The following is a 17,551-nucleotide window of genomic DNA, read 5'->3' as shown; positions in this document are numbered from 1 at the left end:
AAAGAATGATAAATTGTAGAGTTGTGACAAGACAAAGCAAAGGGGCTTAGGCTACGCATAGTGAACTGTGGGAAAATGACTAGGAAATATATGGTGAAAATTAATGGAAGACAAGATTTATTTTAGTATTTGTACAGATTCATCTCAGTGTCCATGCCTCACCTCTATTGATAAAAATGTTCTCAAAAAGTAAAGGAAACCAAGGTCTGCACAGGGGTTTCCTCTGCCCATTCCTCCCACCTCACCCTTCAAACCTAAACTCGAGCCTGCTGCTCACCGGCCTAGCTTTGCTCTCACCATGGCTCTCAGCAATGCTGACATGCAAAAGCAGATAAAGCATATGATGGCTTTCATTGAACAAGAAGCCAATGAGAAAGCAGAAGGAATAGATGCAAAGGCAGAAGAAGAGTTCAACATAGAGAAAGGTCAGTTTGTGCAAACCCAAAGACTAAAGATTATGGAATATTATGAGAAGAAAGAGAAACAGATTGAGCAGCAGAAGAAAATTCAGATGTCCAATTTGATGAATCAAGCAAGACTCAAAGTCCTCAGAGTGAGGGATGACCTTACCACAGGTTTGTACCAGTTGCTGGAGCCCTGAATGATTGTTTGTTGCAGGAAATAAGATTTCCCTCTGGTAAAGTCTGCGGTGCAAAAGGAAATCCCTATGTACAAAGTTGCCACCAAAAACGATGTTGATGTCCAAATTGACCAGGAGGTCCCCATTATATATCTCAACTCCACCAGCTATGTCTACCTGCCAGAGGACATAGCTGGTGGAGTTGAGATATATAATGGGGATTGTAACATAAAGGTTTCCAATACCCTGGAAAGCCAGCTGGATCTCATAGTCCAGCAGATGATGCCAGAAGTCGGGGGGCTTGTTCAGGGCAAATGCCAACAGGAAGTTTTTGGACTAAGCCTTCGGGAGGTGGAGCTCGTCCTCAGCTCTCCTGCTGTGATGTGGAAGCTTCTGATATTTGAAGAAACACAAATGTCTCTGTAGCTTCCTCTTTACTGCCCCAGTATTGCTCTGTATTTATCAGTGATGCCCCTCTGTCACTAATGCCTTGCCTAATTGTTCACAATGGTGGAAAGCTTCATGTAATATGATCAGGACTCACCTCCAGTTCATCTAAAAGTAAAAGAAAAAAGAATGTTCTCCTCTCCCTGGTATAAAGAGGTTGCCTTTCTCATGGGAAATTTATGTCCTGGTGTTTTTTTTTTTTTTTTTTTTGACAGAATTTTGCTCTGTTACCCAGGCTGGAGTGCAGTGGTGTGATCTCAGCTCACTGCAACCTCCACCCCTCAGGTTCAAGTGATTCTTGTGCCTCAGCCTCCTGAGCAGCTGGGATTACAGGCATGCACTACCACACGTGACTAATTTTTGTATTTTTAGTAGAGTTGGGTTTTTGCCATGTTGGCCAGTCTGGTCTCAAACTGCTGGCCTCAAATGATCCACCTGCCTCAGCCTTCCAAAGTGCTGGGATTACAGGCATGAGCCACTGTGCCTGGTCTATGTCCCGTTTTAAGGTAGATAGGTGTAGATCAGAGAGCCCTTCCTACATCTGCTGTCTCTCAAGCACCTTCAGGTTAAAATAACCAATATGCCAAAGTAGTATATTTTGGGTGGCATGTTCTGGTTCACTTCATGGGGAGCTCCTGATTTATAGCTGGTTGGTCAGAAATACAGGTGGAAACCTGGGAGTTGCAACTGGCATCTGAAGTTAGGGCAGTCTTGTGGGACTGAGCCCTTAACCTGTGGGGTCTGTGCTACTGCCAAGTAGTGAATGGCAGAATGGAATTGAATTGTAGTACTCCCAGTTGGTATCTAGAGAATTAGAGAATTGGCTTTGGGTGAAAGAGAAAAAAAATTACACACTTGGTGTCTGAAGTGAGTAAAAACAACTCAGACATATCTGTATATCTATATCTATATAGATATGTTGATATATGAGCCTTTTTAAGGTATCTGTCCCTGTAATTGGGAGTTGGTGAAAAGCATAGAAAAAGAACATGGACTTTGCATTTCACTAAGCCCAGGTTTGAATCCTGTTTCTCACATTTCCTGGATGTGTGACCTTAAGCAAGTCACTTAACCTTTATGAGTCTCAGTTTCCTCATCTCCATTACTAGCTTCACAGAGTTGTTATATTACATGAAATAAGGTGGACAGGGCAGGGTACACAGCTGGGGTGGCTGACTTAATGAAGTCGGCCCTTAAGATTGAATCTTTAGCATAGAGGGAGAAGGGAAGGATGAAGGTCCAAGGAGCTGGATAGGCCCTTCTACTTCTGGCATCCAGCTTGTGTAGCTAGGCCAGCACATTCAGCCCATTCATTGTCCACTAGACTTTATTCCAAGTTGGACTCAGAGCTACAATGTGTGAGAAAACTGTGTGGTGCTTTTACACTTTCATGGATGAGCACCTTTCCATGCTGACACACTGTGGCATGGAAACTGTTTGTAGGAGCTGTAATTAGCAGGTTTATCAAATCCCTGGTTGCTCACCAGGTCTCCTGTCACACTAATTAGGGTATCTAATTGGTGTTGGTTGCCTTAAATGCATATTTATCCTTGTCCACAAGCATAATTATTCTTGGCTTTTTTTTTCCTTCAACGTGTATAGGAAAATAAAAACACATACGAAAATAATGTAGTAAAACAGATCGAAGTTTGATGACATTTAAATTCCTAGAAACTTTGCAAGTGATATTAAAATTAGTGAAGAGTTTGTCCTGTGCTGATGTGCAGGGCTATTCATAGAATAACACTTGCCCCCACCTGTTCTCTACTTTCATTCCCAAAAGTACCATCTGACACTTGGGCGTGGAGGCTTTTGACAACACAAAACTGCCACTGTCACAAGGAGCCCCAGCTACATTACAAGATAGAAAACACTCCCCTTTTCCATTATGCCAACAGTAATGCTGTATGTTTTCTGTTCTTCCAGCTGCTTGTTCCCTGAGTCAGGTATTGCTATATATCTAGGGCCCCAGTGGTTCACCTCAGAGACATTCTGCAATATGTGTCCTAAAGCAAGAGACAGGCCCAAACCTACTCGACCATCTATTTGATAATAGTCATTGCTAGAATCTTTAATATGTTAATAATGATGATGTCATGTGTAGAGCAGCAGCACACAATAACTGCTGAGCACTTAAATAAAGGTAATTATTAGGACTAACTCCAAACCTCTTGGGTAAAAAATCCTAGGGGATATTTTTGTCATGTGATACAGGTGCCCATGGTCCAATCAACTCGGTCATCTGAACAAAGCAAGCTCAATATTGGAAATCATTTCTAGTAAAAACACTTAGTTTAAATTATCACATTTTTAACAGGATTCCTAATTAGACCCAACTTTTCTGAATATATAGAGGAAAAGATGCTTTTCTTTTTAGTATACATATGTTCTTACATGGGTCACAATTAGCACTTTGAATTGCCAAGGCTGATCTCAAACTTCTGGCCTTGAGCAATCCTCCTGCCTCAGCCTCGTGAAGTGCTTGGATTACAGGTGTGATGCAACATGCCATACCTGAATTGTACTTTTCACATTGAGATGAAAGAGGATGGTTATTAAACTCTAAATGAACAATGCAGATGGGAACAGAGTGACAGGATTGAACTGTATTAGTAGCAAAAGCTCTTTTTTTTTTTTTTTTTTTTTTGGAGATGAAGTCTCACTCTGTCACCCAGGCTGGAGTGCAGTGGTGTGATCTTGGCTCATAGCAACCTCTGCCTCCCAGGTTCAAGCAATTCTCCCTGCCTCAGCCTCCCAAGTAGCTGGGATTACAGACGCCTGCCACCATACCTGGCCAATTTTTGTGTTTTAGTAGAGATGAGGTTTCTCTATGTTGGCCAGGCTGGTCACGAACTCCTGACCTCAGGTGATCCGCCCACCTCGGCCTCCCAAAGTGCTGGGATTATAGGCATGAGCCACCATGCCTGGCCACAAAACTCTTCAATGGATTGGGTTATTAACCACTTAGTTTCAGTTTCAGGTACATTCTAGAACAGCATTACCCAACAGAACTTTTGGCAATGATGGAGATGTTCTATATCTTGTCTAATCATGTCTAATACAGTAGCCATTGGCTACCTGTGGCCATTGGGCTTTTCAAACGTGGCTAGTGCTGCTGAATAACTGAATTTAAGTTTACATTTAAATAGACACAGGTAACTAGTGTTTTCAAATATTCACTGCAGCTCTAGAAAAACAGAAAAGACCTTACAGGCTTTAGTGGTATATTTTGAAATATTGGTATAAAATTAAATAGATGAATCCCCAACTAGATTGAAACATAGTTTAATGAAATCTAAACTGAACCAAAGTTTAGTAATACCACAAAAGCCTTTAAGGTCTTTTCTGTTATTCTAGAGCTGCAGTGAATATTGGCTCTCCATAGTCGTGAGCTCCACATTCATAGATTCAGCCAACAGAAGATTGAAATCATACTAAAAAAAAGTTGCATCTGTGTTGTACATGTACAGACTATTTTCTTGTCATTATTCCCTAAACAATACAGTATAACTATTTACATGACATTTTTTGTTGTAGTTAGTATTATAAATAATCTAGAGATTATTTAAAGTATATGGGAGGGTATGCATAGGTTGTATGAAAATACTATACCATTTTCTATCAGGCATTTGAGCATACTCAGATTTTGGTTTCCAAGGGCGATCCTAGAACCGATTTTCCATGGATACTAAGGGACAACTGTATGTGTGTGTGTGTAATTTTTAAAAATAAATGTAAAACCTAGATATTTTCTAAAACCAATGATGTGGGGCAAAAGTAAAAGCACAAGAAACTGATGAGTCTCTCAGGTTTCATGGATAGTTTTTACATATGGAAGCCTGACCATCTTCCCCACAGGAATGGGACTTTATGAATATAATTGAACCCCTTGCAATAGAGAAAGCAGATGTATTATTTTTGTAGTGTCCCTTCTAAAAATGTTCTTCAGCTGGCCCGTACTACCAAGCATTCCATCAGATATGCATTGTGCTAAATGACTGAAGGAATTCATATCCAAGCCACTGAAGAAGCATGTCAACTGCTACATGCACACTAGAGAATACAGCAGCAGATGACACTACACTCAGGCTCTTTTGTCATTATTGCCTTACACCTGCCAGACTCTGGTCCTTGGTGTCCAGGAGACCAGACTTTCCACCAAGTGCAGAAACAGATTGAACTGTACTTTATTTCTGAGTGGAGAGCACAGATGATCCTGATTCTCCAGACCATTATTACAAAGTGAAATTTAAAGCTAACATAGGCTGGGCATGGTGGCTCACACCTGGAATCCCAGCACATTGGGAGGCCAAGGTGGGCGGATCACTTGAGATCAGCAGTTTGAGACCAGCCTGGACAAAGTGGTGAAACCCCGTCTCTACTAAAAATACAAAAATTAGCTGGGCATGGTGGCAAGCGCCTGTAATCCCAGCTACTCAGGAGGCTGAGGTGGGAGGATTGCTTTTGCCTGGGAGGCGGAGGCTGCAGTGAGCCGAGATTGTGCCACTGCACTCCAGCCTGGGCGACAGAGTGAGACTCTTCTCAAAAAAATAAAAAAATAAATAAAAATAAATAAAATAAAGCTAACATAGAAAGAGGCAGGGACGTGAACACTAAAGTTGTTTTTTTTTTTCCAACTTTTTAATGACTTCGCACAAAAAAGAGAGAATTCAAGTTTGGTTAGTGAATTTGGATGGAATGAGGTTTAACAGACAACTTAAGACTGTTACAGGATGATTGTGCAAGTAACACTAACATCCTAACAAATAAGCCTCGGTAATCTCGTCCTCCTTTCCAGCATGCCAGCAGTGATGTGCTCTATTTTTCCTGTTTTCTTCCAAGCTGCTTGCTCCTTGGGTTGGTATTGCTGTATCACCAGGACCAAGTGGTTTACCTCCTAGACATTCTGTAATCTGTGATCTGAAGCAGGAGATGGGCTCAAACCTGTCTGATTGATGAGTCATAAGTGCTTCCACCTAATTCCAGCAATATACAAAGGCATTATTTGCATCACATTTTGTACCATTATTTGTGAAATGCCTACTTTTACAACTGATTGTGATGATTGGGGTCTTAAAGTTTCTTAAATTCCAAATAGAAAAAACTGATTCTGCCTATCTTAATGTCAAGGGGAATTTGTTGGAAGATTTTGGAGTCTCCTAGGGAATCAAAAGGGAAGCAAAAGGGCCAAATAGTGAAAGACCAGGAGCCCAGGTGCCTGTTCTGGGGTCTAAGCAGCTTGGCTAGGACCTCCTCCTAGGGTCCAGCCCGCTCCAAAGACTTCTAGCCCTGTCTCTCAAGAACAAATGTCACAAATCCAGGGCAAGACATTGATTGGCCCAGACTGGGTCAGCAGTCCACCTCTAGACCCATCAGCTGTGGCTAGGGCAGGAGCGGATCTAGGTTTTATGGGGACCGAAACTCATACAATTTGGAGAGCCCCCCCTTGAAATAACTAAGACGTCTGTCTTACACTGTACAAATACAATGCCCGCAGCACTCCAAAGAAATCAGGACAGAAGAAATCACAAATACAAAGTGCCTACAGCCACTCTCAAGAGAGGAAGTGAGACAGAAGAAAAATTGAAGTGGGAAGAAGACCCTGTGCTCTTAAATTATTGTGGTTGAAGAGGTGGATTATTCTCTTTGCAATTCTTATAAAAACATTTGGCCATGTGAACACATTTTTAGGGTCTCTCCTAAGACTTTGGAAGGAACTCATGCACTGAGCGGGGCTGAAACTTTTTTTTTTTTTTTTTTTTGAGATGGAGTCTCGCTCTTTCACCCAGGCTGAAGTGCAGTGGTACAATCTTGGGTCACTGCAACCTCTCTCTCCTAGTTCAAGAGATTCTCCTGCCTCAGCCTCCTGAGTAGCTGGGACTACAGGCCCACCCTACCGCGCCTAGCTATTTTTGTCTTTTTAGTAGAAACTGGGTTTCACCATGTTGGCCAGGCTGGTCTCGAACTCCTGGCCTCCAGTGATCCGTCTGCTTCAGCCTCCCAAACTGCTGTAATTACAAGTGTGAGTCACCGCACCTGGCCAGGGGCACTAAAACTTAAGCATCATTCATTTCATGGAAGGAGCAAAGTCTTTTTTTCCTTCTTTTTTTTTTTTTATTTAAGGATAAGAACCCTCATGGTAACTATAGGAAGAGAGCAATTCTTCAAAAAAGGGAGAGGCTGGAAAGACAGAATAACAGCGGACCACTGTCTTATCCTGCACCTGCTGCTATAACAAAATACCTTAGACTAGGTAATTTATAAACAACAGAAATTTGTTTCTCACAGTTCTGGAGGCTGGAAGTCCAAGATCTAGTCATCAGCAGACTCAGTGTCTGGTGAGGGCTGCCCTCTGCTTCAGAGATGGCAACTTCTTGCTGCATGCTCACATGGCAGGAGGAACAAATCCTATGTCCTCACGTAGTGGGAGGGGCAGTGGGACTAGGGCACTCCCGTCAACCTTTTATAAGGGTACTAATCCCATTTATGAGGGCAGAGCCCTAGTGACTTAATCACTTCCAAAAAGGCCCTACTTTTTAAATTTTATTTTTATTTTTTATTTTTGAGACAGGGTCTTGCTCTGTTACCCAGGCTAGAGTGCAGTGGTGTGATCATAGCTCACTGCATCCTCAACCACCTAGGCTCAAGCAATCCTCCATCCTCAGCCTCCCAAGTAGCTGGGGCTACAGATGCACACCACCACACTCAGCTAATATTTCTATTTTTTGTAGAGATGACATCTCGTTATGTTGCCCTGGCTCGTCTTGAACTTGTGAGCTCAAGTGATCCTCCCACTTCAGCCTTCTAAAATGTTGGGATTACAGGTGTGAGCCACCGTGCTTGGCCGAGGACATGTTCATGTCAAAGTCAAAGTTCTTTTTGCTCCATCGTGCTACCCAGCTTACAATTTTGGACTTACAATTTTTGTGAGGATTTATGAACAGTCATTTAATCAGTACATGAGACTAGGTCTTCTTCATAATTTCAATCAAATTATTTAATTAATGACCAAATAACTATTTTTTTTTTAAGTCAAGGAAGAAAAGAACGGCCTTGCCTTTTGGAGAAGCAAAGAGTCCAGAAGTCTGAAAGAATCTCCTCTCAGGTGAGATTGTTGTTTGGAGTATGTGTTTAACTTGCTAACCAAAACATTTTTACATTGTAACTTGTTTTTCTTAATTTTTTTTCTCTACTAATGGCTTTGGACTGAGTTCTATTAATCTTACATATGCAATAAGGAAGAAAGTATTTTTGAGAGAACTTTTTCTCAATTCAAATCAGTTAAATAGTATAGTTTTTCTAATTTTCTATATATTACTGAACATATAGATGTCACAATATAGATAAATAATTCATTAAAATTAAATTCAAAGACATCTGTTGAGCTCTGGTTCTGTGTAGGGCACTATGTTAGGCCCTATGATGGATACAAAGATGAGTACTCATAAATTCTGTCCTTGAGAAGCTGATTCTAACTAAGATATACAGCATTTGCACAAATTAAGAAAATACATAGTCCACATGCTAAGTGTCCTGAATGAGTCTGAGCAATTTTCAAAGAGATTTAAAGAGGGGACAGATGATATTCAGTTGTGGGGAGAAGTCAAGATGCCTGGTGACAGTTGGTAAAGGAATAGGGCGCCTGGAGATGGGGACACTGCAGTTGGAGGAATAGTGGGAGAGGAGATCCAGGCAGAAAAGAAATGGAACATGTGTTAGTTAGCCCCATGGGATTGAAAATAGGACCTGAAAGTGAAATGGATCCTACACTTTGGAGGGTCTTAAAAGTCCAGATGAAGACTTTACATTTCATTTCACAGGATATGAAAAAACTATGGAAAGTTTTGGCCATGAGAATGATATAGAAACCATTACAACAGGTGCTGGAGAGGATGTGGAGAAATAGGAACACTTTTACACTGTTGGTGGAACGTAAACTAGTTCAACCATTGTGGAAGTCAGTGTGGCGAGTCCTCAGGGATCTAGAACTGGAAATACCATTTGACCCAGCCATCCCATTACTGGGTATATACCCAAAGGACTACAAATCATGTTGCTATAAAGACACATGCACACGTATGTTTATTGCAGCATTATTCACGATAGCAAAGACTTGGAACCAACCCAAATGTCCAACAATGATAGACTGGATTAAGAAAATGTGGCACATATACACCATGGAATACTATGCAGCCATAAAAAATGATGAGTTCATGTCCTTTATAGGGACATGGATGAAATTGGAAATCATCATTCTCAGTAAACTATCACAAGAACAAAAAACCAAACACGGCATATTCTCACTCATAGGTGGGAATTGAACAATGAGATCACATGGACACAGGAAGGGGAACATCACACTCTGGGGACTGTTGTGGGGTGGGGGGAGGGGGGAGGGATAGCATTGGGAGATATACCTAATGCTAGATGACGAGTTAGTGGGTGCAGCGCACCAGCATGGCACATGTATACATATGTAACTAACCTGCACAATGTGCACATGTACCCTAAAACTTAAAGTGTAATAATAAAAAATAAATAAATAAATAAATAAATAAATAAATAAATAAACCATTACTACAGAAAAATAATCCGACGATTGTGCTTAAAATGGATTGAAGTAGGGAAAGACCTGAGATTGGTGGAAAGTCATTAGAATGTGAACTGGGGTAGTGATAGCAAAAATAAAGAAAAAGGGACGGATGGAAGAGATATTTCATAGGCAGAATCCACAATACTAACATTTAATTGAAATAGGAGAGCTGGAAAGAGAAACTACGTGGTTTCCAGCTGGGGTGACTGAATAGCGATGCCCTTCAAACAAATAAGGATGTCAGAAGGGATCACGCTCAAGTACTGGTTTAAATAGGTTAAGCTTGAGGTTCTAGTGGGCTTATCTGGTGTATAAGTTCATCTGACAGTTGAAATTTCAGTCTGGAAGGTGGGAAAGAAGTCTGGGTAAATTTAAAAAGGAGAAAAAGGAGTTTCTTTTTTTTTTTTGAGACTGAGTCTCGCTCTGTCACCCAGGCTGGGGTGCAGTGGTGTGATCTCTGCTCACTGCAACCTCTGCCTCCCAGGTTCAAGCGACTTTCCTGCTTCAGCTTCCTGAGTAGCTGGGATCACAGGTGCCCACCACCACGCCTGTCTAATTTTTTGTATTTTTAGTAGAGATGGGGTTTTGCCATGTTGACCGGGCTGATCTCAAACTCTTGACCTCAAGTGATCTGCTCACCTCAGCCTCCCAGTGTTGGGATTACAGTCGTGAGCCACTGCACCTGGACAAAAAAAAAAGTTGTTTCTTAAGTTGCATAAGTTAAAGTGTGATACTATATATATATATATATATATATATATATATTTTTTTTTTTTTTTTTTTTTTTTTTTTGAGATGGAGTCTTGCACTGTCGCCCAGGCTGGAGTGCAGTGGCTCGATTTTGGCTCACTGCAACCTCCGCCTGCTGGGTTCAAGTGATTCTCCTGCCTCAGCCTCCCGAGTAGCTGGGATTACAGGCGCCCGCCACCATGTCCAGCTAATTTTTTGTATTTTAAGTAGAGATGGAGTTTCACCATGTTGGCCAGGCAGGTCTCGAACTCCTGACCTCATGATTTGTCTGCCTCGGCCTCCCAAAGTGCTTGGATTACAGGCATGAGCCACTGTGCCTGGCCAAAGTGTGATACTGTTACACACTTTCTCTATTTAGATATTAGAAGGAAGAGGGGAGTGTAGGATTCTGGGAGCTGCCACTCAAGGGATATAGAGGCATAGGGAAAATTAATATGAATTGGATCCTAGAAAGACAGGTCATAGCAAGGGGAAATATCCAGATTAGAAAAGCATTGCAAAATGCTGTTCGGAAAAAGTGAAATCCTAACTGGGGATATTCACAAACCCATGGTGGCCCATGCTGTGTTGCTTAGCTTGCTGGGGAGGGGCCTTTTCTCACTGCACTTTCTGTCATTCTCACCCTCTCTCACAGTTTGAACAAGAGGACCTATGAGGTCTCTTCCAAACCTAAATTTCATTATTATTATAACTTTCTTTCTTGCCAAAAAAAAAATGGCTTAGGAAGTTTATTTTTCCTAAACACATTACCAACTTGCTTTGTAGAATTTTAACCTTAAGGCCAATTATTCTGGATAAGAAAATTGTTGGACAATGGCTGCAGTACCTAATATTCTTAAAGGTGCTTAAGTAAGTTCAAGGTTAAGGAGTTCATGTGTTCCTGTCAGAGTTCTCAAGGCTTTGGAGGTTTTGATTACATTTGAAGCCAAACATCAAAAAAACTAAGACAGAATTGTCTAATGTGTTCTATTTAGCATGGCAAACCATAGCTTAAAATGCGCATTGAGACCCCTTTAAAATGCTGGCATTGGAGAAGGAACCAACAGCCTGTGTAGCTAAATTCCTTTCACCAGATTTCTCAAGGGGTGCTACTGGCATTTGTGTGGTACCATTTGTACTTGTGCAGAATGGGGCCACACATTGTGAAACTTCATCTTCCCTGGCTTTTGTCCACTAAGTGCCAATAATGCTCCCCATTTATTGTGGCAACTAAGAAACACCACTACACATTTTCTTTTTTAAAAATTTTATTTTATTTATGTTTAGTTCTGAGATACATATGCAGGACGTGCAGATTTGTTACATAGGTAAATATGAGCCATGGTTACCATGCATTTTCATGGAACTATCCTGGCTACTTCCAGCTCTCAACACACTTGTCAAATGGTCAAGATTTGTTTCCATTTCTCCCATTCTGTGCTCTTTCTCCCTTCTCTGTGCTGTCCTCTCTCTAGCCTTCCCTGGTATCTCAGTCTGTTTTCTGTTGCATATCACAGAATACCTGAAACTGGCTAATTTATAAGGAAAAAAATGTATTTCTTATAGTTATGGAGGCTGAGAAGGCCAAGGTCAAGGAGTTGTATCTGCTGAGAGCGTTCTTGCTGGTGGGGACACTCAGCGGAGTTCCTAGGCTGTGCAGGACATCACATGGCAAGAGCACTGGGCATGCAAGCTCAAGTCTGTCTTCCTCTTCTTATAAAGCCAGTTCCATTCCCATGATAACACATTAACATATTAACCCACTTATCCATGAATTGATTAATCCATTTATGAGGGCAGAGCCCTCACTACCCAGTCACCTCTTAAAGGTCTCACCACTCAATACTGCCATACTGGGGATTAAATTTCAATGTAAGTTTTGGAGGGGACAAATATTCAAACCATACCACCTAGCAAGTATCCTTGTTCTTCCTCTAAATTTTATGTTTGGGTTTTTACTGATACCACATTGTGACAATTTCTTTCTTTCTTTTTTTTTTTTTGAGACAGAGTCTAGCTCCGTCGCCCAGGCTGGAGTGCAGTGGCTCAATCTTGGCTCACTGCAACCTCCGCCTCCTGGGTTCCCTAAGCGATTCTTCTGCCTTAGCCTCCTGAGTAACTGAGATTGCAGGTACCCGCCACCACACCCAGCTAATTTTTTTGTATTTTTAGTAGGGACGGGGTTTCACCATGTTTGTCAGGCTGGTCTCGAACTCCCAGTCTTGTAATCCACTCACCTCGGCTGGCGGTGGTCCCAAGTACTGGGATTATAGGCGTGAGCCACTGTGCCCAGAACATTGTGATAATTTAATAATACAGATTTAAAATGGTTATTCCTTTGGTGGGATTTCCATTTTAGCAGGCATGAAAGCCAGCAGCTCCAGGAAAGAAGTTCTATTTGTAGAATTTTGTTGTAACAGCTTTACTGAGGTATGATTGACACACAATAAACTGTGCATGTATGTTTTATCATATATATCTCCCCATGAAACCATTACCACAATCAGTATGTACCACCCCCCTCCTCTCTACCCTGTGCCCTGGAGACTTTTTCAAGGCAGTAAACTGGGACAATCATTAGGTCTCACCTTGATTATTTCCCATCTACCAGGGCTCATTGTCTTTTATTGCCTGGTGTCTAGTGTCTTGAAATCTATTTTTGCATATATTTTGTCCAATTTTTGGTTGTTTCAGGTAGAAGGGTATATATGGTCCCTATTACTCCATCTTGGCTAGAGGCAGAAAAAAACTAGTAGAATTTTAGGTTTATACCCATATATATAGAAGAGGATTTGGACTGGTGTTAGATCCTTCCTGGAGTCAGTGATGGTCCTGGAATTTCTATAAAAAAGATCTTTGGGGCAGCAATAGGGGAGATTAGGGAATTCATTTACCTAGACTGTATGTTTATGTGGGGTAGATTGAAACTCTTTTTTCCTTAGCAGGCACAGATACATTGTTTTTATGTGGCATAGATATTTATTTGTGGTGGCTCACTCAGGGGAAGACTATTGGAGATGCTAGGGAGGTGGGGTACTCAAGTCTCCCCTTCTTTTGGCTTCTGCCTTTGGGAGCCTGCTGTTTCAGGCCAACTCATCAATTTCAGTTCCACACTATATTAATGAAGATAATCCCGAAGCTCAGAAGGACCTAGATTATCAAAGATTCATGTATGTGTACTATTCTGCCTTTTACAAAAAGATAAAACCACACACTTTTAGAGAAGTCAATTGAATATGAGATCTCATTTTCCCCCAGTAGTCCTTCGGTGTAAAGTTAAATAGACTGTAGGGGCTTGAATTTACTTATCAGAAAGTTAGAATCTGGGACACTCATTGCTGCTGCTTCTTTTCTTCTTCTTCTTCTTCTTTTTTTTTTTTTAGACAGGGTCTTGCTCTGCTGCCTGGGCCAAGTACAGTGGTGTGATTATGGCTCACTAAAGCCTCGACCTCCTAGGTAGCTGGGATTACAGGCATGCCCAGCTCCACTGCTGCTGCTTAATGTGGTGTTACTGCTTTGAGATTAGTCTACACTCTTAACACATGCTGACTGGGCAATGTGAGGACTTAGCCTAGATCTTCTGGGGTGTGGAAATAAAGCTGACCTGGAATAATGGCAAAAGTCCATGTTTATTTCAATCTTGGTCATGTATAAGAATCTCCCAAGGGCTCGTGGAGAGTACAGACTCCTAGGCTCTACTCCAGGCTATGGAATCCTCAGCTTTAGGGACAGTGTTCAGTTGTCTGTTTTTGGTAGCTACCTAGATGATTCTGTTAGCTAGCTACCAAGGTTTGAGAATTGCTGGCCTAAATAATCTACAATGACATCAATCTTCCCCTGGATTATTGGAACTCCTGAGTTCATAATATGTCTCTAACTCACCCATCAACTTCTATCTCCACTGCCAAAACTCCACTATCACCTCTCATCACTTCTGCAACACCTCTACTACACTCTCCACCTCCATTCTCAGTACCTGTCTGCCTCTGCCTGAATCCATTATCCACCTTAAAGCCAAAATGATACTTTCCAAATGTCCCTTTCTTGCTTAAAACCTTTCAGTGGTATTCCATTGCACAGCAGATAAACCTTTTACCACGTCTAGACATCCCAGCAAGAACTGGCCGTTGCCTACCGCTCCAGCTTCACCTCTTACTTCTCTTGTTCATCTCAATAGTTGGAGCACTGCAAACTCTTTCCAGCTCAGACCTTTGAACTTCTTACCCCTCTTAACATTGCTTTTCACATGGCTCACTCTTTCTCATCCTTCAGATCTTAGCTTAAATGTCCTCATCCCAGAGAGTTCTTGCTTGATCACCTAGTTTGAAGTATGCCACCCGTCAACAAACACACACAAGTTTTCTTTATCAGACTGCTTTGTTGATTTCAATTGCACTTTTGTAAGTTATAACTACATGTTCATTGCTTATTGTCTGTCTTCCCACTAGAATGCAAGCTCCATGAGAGCTGGGACCTAGATATTCTTGTGCACTGATATATTTCTAGTGTTGGCCCAGTGCTTGGTACATACTAGGTGCTTAATATTTGTTGAATGAATAATCATATTCTTTACAACCTAGCCTGGCTTGCATAATATTGGCTTGTGGGAGTGTGATTTGCTCTAAATCCATGTAATAATAAACCATGTTTGGACAGAGTTTATGTATTTCCATTATTGCCCTGAAGAATGTGACTTATGAGCTTCTGCGGGGAGGGCTCTGCCTTGTAGCAGGGCACTGAGTGAAATTCTTAACATGGTCTTTGTAATTGGAAGGATTGAAGGAGGGGCAGTTCTAGGAATAGGCATCCACATGCTCCCATAGTCAAGTCTTCATTTCAGCATGTAATTCCCCACATTTCTGGGATACTTTGAGAGTTCCATTGTTTTCCTCCAATTTAGAAAAATAAAAGAGGTTTTTAGTTAATGTTTGCAGCTGGGCATGATGGCTCACGCCTGTAATACCAGCACTTTGGGAGGCCAAGGTGGGTAGATTGTTTGAGCCCAGGAGTTTAAGACCGGCCTGGGCAACATGGTGAAACCCCATCTCTTAAACAAACAAACAAAAAAGCAAAAATTAGCTGGGCTTGTGGCATGTCCCTCTAGTCCAAGCTACTCACACCACTGCATTCCAGCCTGGGTGACAGAGTAAGACCCTGTCTTGGCAAAAAAAAAAAAAGGAAATGTTTGCAGTAGTTGTTTTAGGTTACTGTGGAGGTTAAAACTCTGTTAAAAGTGACAGAAATGCATTTTAGGTTTAAAAAGGGAATTTATTGGAATTACTGCGTCAACTCATGAAATTCAGTATTCATTCAACAGATATATTTAGAAATGGAAATATATAAAGATATAGATACAGACAGAGATCTCTCTGTCAGTCTAATCTGGCATATTCGAATTGCTGGGCTCTGTGTTCTATTTTAAATGTATGAATACAATGGTGAGCAAACTCAGTAAAGCTTAGAAATGGAATCCTGGGAACGTAGGAATGGTAAGAACGGAATTTAGACACAGCTGGAACTGGGGGCTTGAGTGTCCCAGGACTCAGTCCCTGTCTCCTTCTCTGATGTTTGTGTGTCAATTGCATCTTCTCTCCCTGAACACCACATCCTCCATGGGGCAGCACACGAGTCACTGACTGTCTTAAATTCACATTTTACAGCTTCCACCACCAGACAAAGGCTAACTCACACACTTACTTGTATTGAATTTTTAAATCCTGAAGAAAGTCTCTGATTGCCCAGCTTGAATAAATGACACACTGCTGAAAAATATTCACCACAGCCGACAAATCAGGGTCTTTAAAAACATGGCAGCTTCTGTGTGCTCTGTTTGTAGAGGAGAGGAGTAGTTTCCAAAAAAAGGAGGGTGAAGAGGGAGCTGGGTCTACTGTCCCATAGTTTTTTAGCACTGTCATCTCCATAATTAAACATTTGAGTTAGAAGCCTAAACAAAAGGCAGGGTGGGATAGAAAACACTAAGTAGAGGACTAAAGGATGTTATCATGTACAGAGATTTGAAACACCTCCTAGGTGCCATGTTTTGGGCCTAATGATGAGAAGCTGCAGGCCACAAGAAGGATGTTGTTATCAGAAATGGGGCCTCGCTATATTGGCCAGGTTGGTCTTGAACTCCTGGGCCTCAAGTGATCCTTCCACCTCGGCCTCCCAAAGTGCTGGGATTACAGGCATGAGCCACCATGCCTGGCTCAACCAAAGACTTTAAGGCAACTGTTATAACCATGCTCTAAGAAGTAAGTATGAACCCCTTTGAAGCAAATGGAAAGACAGAAAGTCTCAGCAAGAAATAGAAGACATAAAAAAGGGACCAAATGGAAAGTTTAGAATGAAAAACATACTATAATAACTGAAATTTTAAAAATTCACTGAATGGCTCAATAGCTGGAATGGAGATGACAGAGGAAAGTCACTGAATTTGAAGATAGATGAATAGAAATTATCTAGTCCGAACAAAAGAGAATAAAGATTGAAGGAAAAGACAAACAGAATCTCAGGGTACTGTGTGGCAGTATAAAAAGATCTAGTATTCATGTCTTCAGAGTCTTAGAAGGAGAGGAGAAAAAGTATAGTGCAGAAAAATAGCCAGGCACAATGGCTCATGCCTGTAATCCTAGCACTTTGGGAGGCCTAGGCTAGAGGATCGCTTGAGCCCAGGAGTTCAAAACCAGCATGGGTAACATAGTGAGACTCTGTCTCTAAAAATAATAATAATAATAATAAATTAAATAAATGTAAAAAAAAATTAATGAAAAGAAAAAGTATTTGGAGGAATAATGACAGAAAATTCTCCAAATTTGGTAAAAGATATACACTTACAGGTTCAAGAATCTCAGTGAACCCCCAAAAAGATAAACTCAAAAAAATTCCACATCCAAACACATCATGATCAAACTGCTGAAAATAATAAAGGAAATTAAAAGATACTTAGAACTTAATGCCAATACATACCAAAGTGCATGCAACTGAGCTAAAGCAGACTTTAGAGGTCTGCTCTAAAGCTGTATTTACAGCTTTTACTGTATTCACCAAGAAATAAGAGAGTTTAAAAAAATAAATGAGTTAAACATTCCACTTAAGAAATTGTAGGCTGGGGCAGGGTGCAGTGGCTCACACCTGTAATCCCAGCACTTTGGGAGGCGGAGACAGGTGGATTGCTTGAACCCAGGAGTTTGAGACCAGCCCTG

The 17,551-nt window shown here is 41.2% G+C and overlaps 1 protein-coding gene and 1 pseudogene across 7 annotated transcripts in view; both read left to right on the top strand.

The window, feature by feature from the left end:
- C12orf56 (chromosome 12 open reading frame 56) overlaps positions 1–17,551 on the top strand; it is a 125,997-nt gene that overhangs the window by 51,667 nt on the left and 56,779 nt on the right. For all 7 annotated transcript variants that reach the window (NM_001099676.3, NM_001170633.2, XM_047428257.1 and 4 more), the window contains exon 3: positions 8,060–8,132. In NM_001099676.3, coding sequence (NP_001093146.1) covers positions 8,060–8,132 — 73 coding nt within the window. The remainder of the gene's footprint in view (positions 1–8,059; positions 8,133–17,551) is intronic.
- Positions 187–1,143, top strand: ATP6V1E1P3 (ATPase H+ transporting V1 subunit E1 pseudogene 3; annotated as a pseudogene).

This window comes from Homo sapiens, chromosome 12 (genome assembly GCF_000001405.40).
Source record: "Homo sapiens chromosome 12, GRCh38.p14 Primary Assembly".
NCBI lineage: Eukaryota > Metazoa > Chordata > Mammalia > Primates > Hominidae > Homo > Homo sapiens.
Note: the sequence above shows the minus strand (reverse complement) of the source record. Positions and strands in the feature narration are given on the sequence as shown.